Here is a 13,146-nt window from a genome sequence, read left to right as displayed (position 1 = left end):
CGGCGGCCGCGGGAAGACCCGAGAGTCATTAGAAGCGCAAGATGGCGACTGCGGCCGAAACCTCGGCTTCAGAACCCGAGGCTGAGTCCAAGGCTGGGCCCAAGGCTGACGGAGAGGAGGATGAGGTTAAGGCGGCTAGGACAAGGAGGAAGGTGTTATCGCGGGCTGTGGCCGCTGCGACATACAAGACCATGGGGCCAGCGTGGGATCAGCAGGAGGAAGGCGTGAGCGAGAGCGATGGGGATGAGTACGCCATGGCTTCCTCCGCGGAGAGCTCCCCCGGGGAGTACGAGTGGGAATATGACGAAGAGGAGGAGAAAAACCAGCTGGAGATTGAGAGACTGGAGGAGCAGGTGGGCCCGGGGGTGGGCAGCGGGCATCTTCCAGTCTTTCAGGTCCTCGGGTCCCCATGTCCTGGCCCGCCTCCCTAGTCCTCGGCGGCGATAAAGCCGCCAAGGCTGCAAACCCGCTTTTCGTGACAGTAGCTCCTGTCGGATTTGAGTGCTTACTGCCTGCCCATTGCCTTGCAAACGTTATCTCATTGAATCCTCGCCACGACCCTGTGAAGGAAGCCCTGTTATCTATCCCCATTTTACTGGAGGAAACTGAGGCTCGTGGAGGAAAGTTTCTTGCTCAAGATAACACTTCCTGCAAGTCAGGCCTTGTACTTTGATCCCATTCCAGAACTCCCACTCTTAACCACACGTCCAACAGTAGAAATAAACTCATTCGCAAGAGAGTGTTATTTTGTTATGTAGGAATGACGGCGATGATGAAACTTGTGGTAAGAAAAATATTGACCGCGATGGTGATAATAGAAATGGAAAGGTTTCTGGTTCTGGAGGTTAAGGCCTCAGTTCTAGCTGTTCAACTCTTGTATGTGCTTGTAAGAATTTCTTAATTTCTCTCACCCTCTCGACTTCCTTATCTGCAGATTGGGAGCAACAATTTCTGCATAATATAATTGTTGTAACAGTAACTATAGCTCAGTGCCTAGCATCTAGTCATAACATGGTCTCTCACTTGTAACCTTATGAGGTGGTGATATCTACTGTATAATCCAGGATCTCAGCAGGAAATAGGTGGCACATTTAAATTAGGATGATCTGAGAGAAACTCAATAAAGGTGTGGGTAGGGAAATCGGGAGTGAAGGTTTAGTATCCCATAGCTGGTAACTCCAGAACCTGGTGTCCATCTTTGGGCCGGAAGGGGTGAAGGGTGTGATCTGAATTGTGTGGAGAGGGCACCTGAGACCTGCTGATAACTTTGTTCAAGGGAAGCAGCCCCAGTTTCCTGTCAAGGATTGAGGTGGGGGAAGAAATACCCTGACCTCTCTTTCTTCCTCCCACCAAACTTCTGCTGGTGCCTCCTGCTGGGCAGACCCATCTGGAAGCTGGAGAGCCAGGAAACCTGTGCATGAGGTCTATACTCGGGGACACAGGGCAGGGAGGAGAGGGTAGGGTGTTTTTTGGAGGGGGCAAACAGAAGAGATGGAGCACATTCTCTCTTTTTTTTTTTTTTTTTTTTTTTGAGACAGAGTCTCGCCCTGTCACCCAGACTGGAGTGCAATGGCACCATCTCGTGTCACTGCAACCTCTGCCGCCCTGGTTCAAGCGATTCTCCTGCCTCAGCCTCCCCAGTAGCTGGGATCCAGGCACGCACCATTGCGCCCGGCTGATTTCTGTATTTTTAGTAGAGACGGGGTTTCACCATGTTGGTCAGGCTGCTCTTGAATTCCTGACCTCAGGTGATCCACCCACCTTGGCCTCCCGTAGTGCTGAGATTACAGGTGTGAGCCGCTACGCCCGGCCCGCATTCTCTTTTTACAGATGAAGAAACAGAGGTTCAGAACAAATGATGAAATGATTTCCTTTAAGTTATTCATAGTGGGATTTACACTTAAAATGTGGACTAGATGCCACACTGGATGTGAAATCACTCAGTGAATGTGAAGTTGCTAATCTAGTTTACTCATTAAACCTTACTGAGTGTCAGTTTCCTTATAATACTCTCTCTGGCACTGATATTTTTGTTATGAGATAGTGATGTCATCCATTGGTATAGCTTGTCCCACCCATTACATCTGATTGTCAGAGGAACCTGTTGGGGTTGGCAGGTGGTTAGCATTTCTACTTTTTTTTTTTTTTTTTTTTTTCTTTTTTGAGACGGAGTCTTGCTCTGTGGCCCAGGCTGGAGTGCAGTGGCACGATCTCGGCTCACTGCAAGCTCCGCCTCCCGGGTTCATGCCATTCTCCTGCCTCAGCCCCCCGAGTAGCTGGGACTACAGGCGCCCGCCACCAAGTCCGGCTAATTTTTACTATTTTTAGTAGAGATGGGGTTTCACCGTTTTAGCCAGGATGGTCTCGATCTCCTGACCTCGTGATCCGCCCGCCTCGGCCTCCCAAAGTGCTGGGATTACAGGCGTGAGCCACCGCGCCTGCCCTCTACTTTTTATAAATAAGTGTGCTGAAGCTAATTTAGTCTTACTCATTCAGCAAACACAGCGTGACACTGGGTACCAGATTGACTGTGTCCCTGCCCTTGTTGATGTCATTTCTTCAGACTGCTAGTCCTGGGCCTTTCGATGAGCCTATTCTGTGAGGTGGGGAAAGAGAGGTTTGGGACCAGAGAGGTTAAGTCCTTGGTGAGGGTACACAGCTTGCTAAAGAGCAAGAAAGGGGAGAGCAGAGGTCTCTGGCCACTAGTACTCTGCAGTTGCCTGTCCTGCCACAGATCACCAAGGATGGGGTGGAGTTTAGAATGGACCACACAGGATAGGACCTGGCAAGTGATGAACTGAAGACCCTCTGGCCTTATCCTCTTTGTCCTGTGGTCTAGAAATGGACTTGTCCAGTTTCTCCAAGCCTCCCACCCACCTCATCCTGATCCCACAGCTGCTTCTTCCTGCTGTAACTGCTTTTATGGCGGAGCATAATGATGAATTGCTTCCAAATAGGTCTGTGAGAAACTTGGCCTTGCCATATTTGAGAGTTCTGGTTCTCATCCCTCAGTGTTTATTAATTTTTTTTTTTGAGAGCATCTCACTCTTGCCCATGCTGGAGTAGTGGTGTGATCATGGCTCACTGCAGCTAGGACCTCCCAGGCTCAAGTGATCCTCCCAGCTCATCCTCCAAAGTATCTCGGACTACAGGCATGCACCCCCATGCCTGGCTAATTAAAAATATTTTTTTTTTGTAGAGATGGGTTCTTACTATGTTGCCCAGGCAGGTGCTGAATTCCTGAGCTGAAGTGATGCTCCTGCCTCAGCCTCCCAAAGTGCTCGGATCACAGGCGCAAGCTACTGCACGTGGCCTTGATTATATTTTATGGTAGCTGGCAGTTTGCTGTGGTATCTGTCTAACAAAAGCAAATATTTTCCATTATATGTGTTTGTGCGCTGAAATTAAAAGTGGCACTTCATGGTGGCTTCGGCAGATTTGTCAGTGCAGCAGTACGGAGACTATGGCTTTGCAACCCTGAACCCAAGCCTTCCATTGAGTAGTGGAAAGGCCTTGTACAAGTTATTTCAGCTCGCAGAGTCTTGGGTGTCCCAGTTAGTAAAATGAAGGTTGTAATAGTGCTTTCCTCATGGGACTGTTGTGGGGCATGGCACAATGTGCGTAAAGCGCCTGGCACAGTTTGGCGCATAATAGGTGCTGCTCCATTCTCCCTTCCCTGCCTTTGATTGCACCAGTTGTTTTCTTTCCATCAGTCCTCTCTATTATTTCTCCCCCATTCTAGTACAGCTAGGTATAACACATTTTTCACATTGCTAGGGAGTTAAATCAGTTAGCAGATCATTTTGTGATTGGTTAAGTTTCCTTTAAAGCATCTATGTTGTTAATCCCAGCTACTCGGGAGGCTGAGGCAGGAGAATCGCCTGAACCCGGGAGGCAGAGGTTGCAGTGAACTGAGATCACACCACTGCACTCCAGCCTGGGTGACAGAGCAAGATTCCACCTCAAAAAAAAAAAAAAAAAAAAAAAAACTATGTCATTAATGATGTTCTAAGACCAGAATAGACCAGCATATGTACTCATTTATCAGTATAGATTGAACTATGTGGAAATAGCTCTTTTAAGTGCATTTCAGTATGTATTTAATATATGTACTTTCAGAGTACTTGTCCACATATAGTATCTTCATCATTTTACCCTAAAAATCAGAAGTTTACACCAAAAGCCACACCTTAAAAGTCAGCTTCTTGACTTTAGCGACTTTTATACCTTTTTCTTCTGCTGATCCACACATGGTGTTCATGTGAGGGGCACTTGCATGCATAGATATTCGTGACACTGACTAGCAAGTGCTCTCCCACTCCTGTTTGTGCTCCGCAAGCACACTCTATTGAGTTCAGACTGGTGATGTGGTGGGGAGAGCCTTGAATGTTCTTTAATGAAGAAAGTGTATCCTTCTCAAACTTCACTTCTCAAACATCCCAAACTGCGGTTACTTTGTGTGACACACTTGATAGGTGATTTTGAAACATCAGTGTGTCATGATAGCCCATTTAAGAACCAGAGCTTTAGCCCAGCTCTTTCATGGTACAGATGAGGAAACAGAACAAGTGGGGATTAGAACACTTGTGTCCTGATCTGGTCCAGTGCTTTTCAGCCTATCGTGTGATCATCGGATGAGTTCAGCTTCTCAGGTTTTATGAATCATAAGCAGGAGAACATTGCTAAAAGTCTTAAGATTTAAAACTTAGAGATCATGTTCTTATCTGTAATTGATTATTATCTTTTGGCATGTAATTTGATAAATACAAAGCAGTTCACATCATGTACAAGAGTTTCTCACCAGATGCAGTGGCTCACACCTGTAGTCCTAGCATTTTGGGAGGCTGAGGCAGGATGATCCCTTGAGCCCAGGAGTTTGAGACCAGACTGGGCAAGATGGTGAGACCCTGTGTTTACAAAAAATAAATTTAAAACATTTAGCTATGTGTGGTGGCATGAGCTTGTAGTAGCAGCTACTCAAGAGGCTGAGGCGGGAGGATCACTTGAGCCTGGGAATTTGAGGCTGCAGTGATTTGTGACTGCCACGGCACTCCAGCCTGGGTAAGAGTGAGACCCTGACTCAAAAAAAAAAAAAGAGAGTTTCTCAAAGTCACTGTTTTTCAACCTGGGGGTCATAGTCATAGGTTGTGAATTTATTTTAGCTGAAACAGCAAGTGCCACCTGAGCCATAGTGTTTTTCAACTGCATGGGTCTGTTTTGGGCTCTCTCTTCAGTTTGTCTATCCTGTGCCAATTCCACTGATTAACTTATTGCTAAGGCTTGCTATCTGGTAAGACAAATCCTCCTACCTGCTTTTTTTCTTTCCTTGCAGGGTGTTTTGGCTCTTTCATATAAATTTTAGAATTATTTTGTCAAGGTCTGTGAAAAACCCTGTTGGTTTTTTTATTTGAATTGCATTGAATTTATGGATTATTTAGGGGAGAATTGACGTCTTTGCCATAATGATTATTCTAACCCAGAACATGCATATAACTCCATTCGTCTAGGTATTGAATATTCTTTCTATTTTTGAGACATGGTCCTGCTCTGTTTCCCAGGCTGGAGTACAGTGGCATGATCTCAGCACACTGCAACCTCCGCCTGCTGGGCTGAAGCGATCCTTTCACCTCAGCCTTTCGAGTAGCTGGGACCACAGGCATGTGCCACCAGACTCAGCTAATTTTTACAGTTTTTGTAGAGACGGGGTTTTGCCCTGTTGCCCAGGCTGGTCTTGAATTCCTGGACTCAAGTGATCTGCCTGCCTCGGCCTCCCACAGTGCTGGGATTACAGGTGTGAGCCACCGCCCCCGGCCAAGTCTTTAATATCTTTCAATCAAGTTTAAAAACATTTTGCCATAGAGGTCTCACACATCTTTTGTTAGATGTATTTCTAGGTACTTTATAGTGCTTGATGTTTATGCTATCCTATTTAAAATTACATTTTAAAGCTTGCTGGTTTATAGAAATGTAATTTTTTTATTGTAAAAAACATATAACGTAAACTTTGCTATCTTATTCTTAAGTGTATGGTTCAGTAGTGTTAAGTATAGTCACATTGTTGTGAAGCAGATCTCCAAAGTTTTCATTTGCATATATACAACTCTACCAATTAAACAGCTCTCCTTCTCCTTCCTTCCCAATCCCCTGATAACTACCATTGTAGTTTTCTGTCTCTATGAATTTGACTAGATACTTCATATAAGTGGAATCATACAGTATTTGTCTCTTTGTATATAATTGATTTTTATACATTGCTCTTATTGCTTGTCACTTTGCTAATCTTGTTTATTATTTCCAAATGATTTGTTTGTAGATGAGTTTTGGTTTACTATACATTGATATCATCTGACCATAATTAACAGTTCTCATTCTTTTCTCTATATCTGTTTCTTTTCCTTGTCTCATTGTTAAAACCCCAGACCTCCAGTACAGGGTTAAATAGAAGGCAATACTGGGAAGTTTTTTGTGTTTTTTAAAAGGAATTTTAATGTATTATTAAATTTACTAAATATAAATATATAAATATATAATAAACAATATAATAAATATATAAATATGTTATTAAAATATATTTATTGCAGATTTTAAAAATCAGGTTAAGGAAGTGCCTTTCTATTCCTAGTTTGCTAATTCTTAATTTTGACTCATGAATGGATGTTTTAATCAAATGCTATTTCTTCATTGAGGTAATCATGTTTTTTTCCCTCAAATCTGATGGTGGAAAAATTATACTGGATGATTTTGTAGTGTAAAAACACCCTTGCATTCCTGGGATAGACCCAAATTGATCATTATGTATTGTTCTCTTTATACATTTCTGATTTTTTAATATTTTATTTAGGATTTTTGTATTAATGCTCTTGAGTGAGATTGACATGTAATTTATTGAATTCTGTGTGCCAGGTAGGTAAAGAATCTAACCAAGTCAAGGATAAGACATACAAGGTACTTATCCCATGAAGCCTTTAGGTCATGATGGAAATAAACACGATGATGAGATGGAAAACAGCTTGCAGCATATAGGGGGCTACTTAAGAAAGAGTGGCATAGGAGGGGGGCCGGGGGCGCCCTCTGAGGAAGTGAAGTTTATACCTGAAGTATGAAAAGGGGTGGCTAGGCAGAGAGAAGGTGAGAGATCCTTCTGGGCTGAAGGAGCAGCAGGTGCCTAGCCCTGAGGTTGGAGAGACGTTGGAATGTTTGAGTTACACGAAGCTGGCTGCCATGTTGAGAGGCCGGTGGTTTGAGATGTAGCTGGAGAGATGAGCCCAGCATGCTGGGATTGCACATGAGGCAGGGATTTGCAAATTGTTCCTAGGATACTGGGAAGCCATGGAAGGGTTTTACTATTATAATTAGTAGAGAAAGATAATGAGTTCTTGTTTAAAATCTAAACACTTGAACAAAACCCCGTAATCCTTCATATTTGTATTCTCTGAATGGTTGGTCCTTGTCCCCACTCCATTTAAAGGTTCACTGGCTACTTCATTGTTAAGATTTTTATCCTAAAGTTCAAGTAATCATATTCATTGGCTGTCTTTCTGTATTTTAATTAAATATCTAGTACCTGGATTATTAGGGTATGTTGTCAGATGGTAGAGTGTAATTTGAATGAAGTGTAGGTAATCTTTTATCTCTGGAGAGGGAAATATTCCTAAAATGTGGCAGATGTTGGAAGAGTAGATACTAATGAAGTCTTGGTGTACAGACTTAAATTATCCCTATATCCCAACAAAAGCTTTTTAAACAATTCGCCTTTTTATTTTGAGATAATTGTAGATTTCCATGCACTTGTAAGAAATAATAGAGATTTTTCGTGTACTTTTTACCCAGTTTCCCTCAATGATAACACTTTGAGGAACTATAATATGTAATAACCTGGGTATTGACATTGATATAGTCAAGATACAGATCAGTTCTGTCACCTTAAGGATCCTTGATGTTGCCTTGAAATTTTTCTCTTGTCCTAACATTTTGTGATGTTATATTTACATTTCACATTTAAGTGTGATCCATTTTGAGTTATTTCTGTAAGGCGTGAAGTTTAGGTCAAGGTGTATTTATTTGTTTTGCCTGTGGATATCCATTTGCTCCAGCATCATTTTTTGAAAATGCCTTTTTTTTTCCTCTGTTGCATTGCGTTTGTCAAAAATTATTTGGGCATATTTGTGTGGGTCTGTTACTGGGTTCTATTCTCTTCATCTATGTATCTTTCTGCCATTCTCACACTGCCTTGATGATTGTAGCTGTATTGTAGGTTTTAGTATCAATCAGGTAGAGTGATTACTCCCACTTTATTCTTTTTCAAGATCATTTTTAGCTATTCTAGGGCCTCTGCCATCCCATATACATTTTAGAATAAGCTTGTCTAGGTCTACAAAAAACCTTGTTGGGATTTTAATTGGAGTTTCAGTAAGCCTGTAAGTCAGTTTAGGGAGAATTTACTTCTTGACTATGTTGAGTTTTTCAATCCATGAACATGAAGTGTCTCTTTTTTTAGGTCTTTGATTTCTTTCCTCAGCATTTTGTAATTTTCAGCATACAGATTTTGTAAACTTTTTAAATATACACCTAATTATTTAGGTTTTTTGGAGTGATTGTAAATGGTGCTATGTCTTTAAATTTGGTTTCCACATGTTCTTTTGTTTTTTTTTTTGTTTTTGTATGTTTATCTTATATTCTGTGACCTTGCTCAGTTCACTATTTTTGGAGTTTTTTTTTTTTTTAATTGGTTCCTTAAGATTGTCTACTTAGCCATATCATCTACAAATCAGGACAGTTTTATTTTTCCGAGCTGTATAGCTTTTATTTCTTTTCCTTGTCTTATTGAACAGGCTAGAACTTATAGGACTTTGTTGGAAAAGAGTGGTGAGAGCAGACATCCTTGCCTTGTTCTTGATTTTAGGAGGAAAGTGTTCAATCTTTTACCATTAGGAATGATGTTAAGGTAACCCTATATCCCAACTTATGGGATAGATTTTTTATAGATGCTCTTTATCAGGTTGAGGTTGTTTCCCTCTATTCCTAACATGCTGAGTGTTTTAACCATGAATCGTTGTTGGATTTTGTCACATGCATTTTCTGCATCTATTGATACCATGAGTTTTCTTTAGCCTTTTGATACACTGGATTACAGTAATTGATTTTTAAATGTTGAATTAGCCTTGCAAACCTGGAATAAATACCACTTGGTCATGGTGTATAATTCTTCTTATACACTGAATTTAGTTCTTTAAATTTTCCTCCGTACTGTTTTAGTAGCATCCTACTTATTTTGATTTGTTGCAATTTCATTTTCATTCACTTTTTTTAATTTGTAAATTTTCTTGGAGACTTCCTCTTTGACCTGCAGATTATTTAGAAGTGTATTACTTAATTTTCACGTGTTCAGAGATTTTCTTACTGTTAGTGGTTTCTAATTTGATTCCATTGTGGTCACAAAACATACTCTGCATGGTTTTCATTTCTCTTAAATTGTTGAGGTTTGTTTTATGGCCAAGGATATGGCTTCAGTGAATGTTCCGTAAGTACTTGAGAAAAATACATATTCTGTATTGTTGGGTGGGCTGTTCTCTATATAAATTAGGTCATGTTCGTTGACGGCGTTATTGAGTTCTTCTATAACCCTGTTCTGCCTAGTTTAAAAAAAAATTAAACAATTTCCTTTCTTTTTAAAAACTTAAAAATTTTTTAATTTGCTTTTGTCTAATTTTCTTTTTCTTTTATTCATCTTCTTTTTGACCAGGTTCAACATATTCAAGTGTCTAGTAGTTTTATCAGTTGCTGAAAAGGGAGATGTTGAAGTTGCCAAATGTAATTGCTGCTGTGTCTCTTTGAGCTCTGTAATAGTTTTTGCTTCATGAATTTTCAAGCGCTCTTTGGTTCCTACACATTTAGGATTGTTATGTCTTCCTGGTAGATTGATCTATTTATTATTATGTGTCATTATATAATCCTTTTTATCTCTAGTAATTTTCTTTGCTCTGAAGTGTACGTTATGTGATATTAATATGTCCGCTTCAACTTTTTAATTAATGCTTGCATGTTATCTTTTTCTCTCCTTTTCCTTTCAACCAGTTTACCTGTGTCTTTGAATTTGAAATGAATTTCTTGTACTCACCATATAGTTGGGTTGTGTTTTTATCCACTCTACCATTATCTACCTTTTAATTAGCATATATGCACCATTCGCATTTAAGGCAATTGTTGGTTTATTCAGACCAAAGCCTGCCGTTTTACTATTTTCTGTTTATTTTCTGTTTCTCATTCTTCTGTTTCTCCTTTCTTGCCTTTCTGTGGATTATTTGAATATTTTTTAGATTTTCATCTTGATTTATTTATTTATTTTTTTGAGATGGAGCCTTGTTTTGTCACCCAGGCTGGATCTCTGCTCACTGCAACCTCCGCCTCCCGGGTTCAAGCAATTCTCCTGTCTCAGCCTCCTGAGTAGCTGGACTACAGGCATGTGCCACCACACCCAGCTAATTTTTTGTATTTTTTGGTAGAGACAGGGTTTCACCATGTTGGCCAGGCTGGTCTTGAACTCCTGACCTCATGATCTGCCCGCTTTGGCCTCCCAAAGTGCTGGGATTACAGGTGTGAGCCACCATGCCCAGCCATCTTGATTTATTTAAGGTGATTTTTAGTGTAATTGCTTTGAATAGTTTTCTCAGTGGTTGCTTTGGGTATTAAAATATACGGAGTTGACTTACATGGTATCCGTGTTTTACCACTTGAATGAAGTGAGGGAATCTTCCATTTCAGTTCTCTTTCCATCCCCACTTTTAAATAATACTGTGTTGGGTATCAGAAGTTCTTACAATGTTTGTTCCATTACATATGATTTAGAAAGCTCATGAGGAGAGGAGGATAATCTGTCGTAGTTCCCGTATTTCTGCTCTTCCTGTTCTTTCTTCCTTTTTGATGCTTTAGGATTCCTTCTTCTAACTTTTCTGTTCGAAGAACTTCCTTTAGCTATTCTTCAAGGGTAGGTCTGCTAGTGACATTTTTTTCATTTTTCTTTGTCTCAGATATATGGTAACTTAAAATAATTTTAGTTTGAAAAGTTTCAAATGTACAAATAAAACTTTATGTACCTGTCACTCAGCATCAACAGATACCAACCTGCTGCCACTCTTGTTTCTCTAATAGGGATTTCTATCTTTTTTTTTTTTTTTTTTTTTTTGAGATTGGGTCTTGCTCTGTCACCCAGGCCTAGAGTGCAGTGGTGTGGTCTCGGCTCGCTGCAACCTCTGTCTCCCAGGCTCAGGTGATCCACTTCAGCCTCCCAAGTAGCTGGGACCACAGGTGCATGCCACCATGTCTGGCTAATTTTTTGTATTTTTGGTAGAGATAGGGTTTGACTGTGTTGCTGAGGCTGGTCTCGAACTCCTGAGCTCAAGCAATCCACCTGCCTCGGCCTCCCAAAGTGCTGGGATCACAGATGTGAGCCACCACAACTGGCTTCCATCTTTTTTATTTAGTAAAATAAAAGAGGTCTTACAGTGTACCTCACATGTGCTAAAGGACGTTATGAAATTACCTTTTTATTTTTTAGTTTTTCTTAAAGACCAGTGTAACAGTAGAAATTTTTTAAATCCTTGGAAGACCTGGTATGAGCTAGAAACTAGTAGTGTCCTCATTTTATAGATGAGGAAATAGAGCTTAGGAAAGTAAATAACTTACCTAAGGTCACATACTTTTTATTTGTTTCATTAGAATGCCTCCTTTATTTCCAAGAGAACCCAAATGTCTTCTAACAGGAACTGTAACAGATTTGAGGGAGCTTTATGTTTGTTACAAAAGCCTCTTTTATTGTTTTGTCTTCTACCTGTGGGTACGTGCTGGGTTGCTGTTTCAGTGGTTTTCTCAGATAGCACGTTTATTTTGTTTGTGGCAGGTATATGTGTAGTTACCAGTAGTGACAAAAGCTAAGTTACTTGATGACGGTGTTTTAAATTTCAACTTGTTTCTTTTCCTGTTAGTTGTCTATCAACGTCTATGACTACAACTGCCATGTGGACTTGATCAGACTGCTCAGGCTGGAAGGGGAGCTTACCAAGGTGAGGATGGCCCGCCAGAAGATGAGTGAAATCTTTCCCTTGACTGAAGGTAAGCTTCAGCAGTCAGGCTGCTTTTAGAAACAGAAACAAGGCTTGCACATTTTTTACAATGTTGAAAGTGGGACATGCTCCTTGTAGAAAACCTGGAACGTTCAGTGTAGTGGAAAGAAGAAAACGCATCAGAGTTAGCTATTTTTAGTTTATTGTAGTTTTTTGCAAAATGTAGTTATGATCATATAACACGGATTTTGAATTCTGATTTCTTTATTCTAACGTTGTGGTAAACATTTGTAATGTAATTAAACTTGGCTTTCATTTCTGTATTTCCCATTTCACTATTTATGTATTTAAACCATTCTCTTGAAACCAGAAAATTGTAAATATATTTAAACTTTTACAGACAGTTTTTTATGTAAATGTTTCATACATTAATTGTTCCAGAATAGTTGGGCATTTAGGTTATTTCTACTTATTTGCTTATTAGAAACATAATTGCACTGAACAACTCTGTAGTTCAATCTTCATGAATATTAATAAGTGATCTTTGGGCAGTACTTAGAACACTTTGGTCCTAGATCCCACTCTGCCCCTTTTCCCTTCTGCAAAGCATAACTGCCGAGTGTAGATGCTGGAGTCAGGTGACCTAGATTCATTCCTGGCTACATCTTTTACTAGCTGTGTGACCTTAAGCAAATTATGTAAACATTCTAAGACTCAGTTTTTCTAGCAGTTAAATGATGGCAACAGTAGTTTCTGCATTGTAATGTATGACGGTATAGGATGAGCTATTCTACGTATAACACTTAACACATGCCTGGCATGTTGTCATCCTTAGATAGATGTCATTATTATTAGTGTTACTATCACCAACCTTACAGGATTGTGATAAAGACTGAATGAGAAAAGTGCTTTGCAAAATATAAAATGCCTAACAGGTGGAGGATATTATGATTTTAGTGATTTGATCTTATTTGGAAGCATAAAACCTCCTATGTGCTTAGTTCAGGTTTTAAGAAGTGAATTTCTGGAAACAACGCCAGGTTGTGTAAGATGGATGAAACGTTTGCATGCTGATGTCTCTTGGTAA

At 40.3% G+C, this 13,146-nt stretch overlaps 1 protein-coding gene across 2 annotated transcripts in view, besides 1 other annotated feature; it reads left to right on the top strand.

The window, feature by feature from the left end:
- The window catches only part of SART3 (spliceosome associated factor 3, U4/U6 recycling protein), a 38,960-nt gene continuing 25,836 nt past the window's right edge, over nucleotides 23–13,146 (top strand). For both annotated transcript variants that reach the window (NM_014706.4, NM_001410983.1), the window contains exons 1-2: nucleotides 23–353; nucleotides 11,982–12,108. In NM_014706.4, coding sequence (NP_055521.1) covers nucleotides 42–353; nucleotides 11,982–12,108 — 439 coding nt within the window. In that variant the 5' untranslated portion in view covers nucleotides 23–41. The remainder of the gene's footprint in view (nucleotides 354–11,981; nucleotides 12,109–13,146) is intronic.
- Nucleotides 11,851–11,920: a silencer, noted in NCBI's record as "silent region_4827". NCBI's record gives its function as "represses an Ori minimal core promoter by ATAC-STARR-seq in GM12878 lymphoblastoid cells {active_cell/tissue: GM12878}" and the evidence as "EXISTENCE:reporter gene assay evidence [ECO:0000049][PMID:35858748]".

This window comes from Homo sapiens, chromosome 12 (assembly GCF_000001405.40).
Source record: "Homo sapiens chromosome 12, GRCh38.p14 Primary Assembly".
In the NCBI taxonomy this organism is placed as follows: Eukaryota; Metazoa; Chordata; class Mammalia; order Primates; family Hominidae; genus Homo; species Homo sapiens.
Note: the sequence above shows the minus strand (reverse complement) of the source record. Positions and strands in the feature narration are given on the sequence as shown.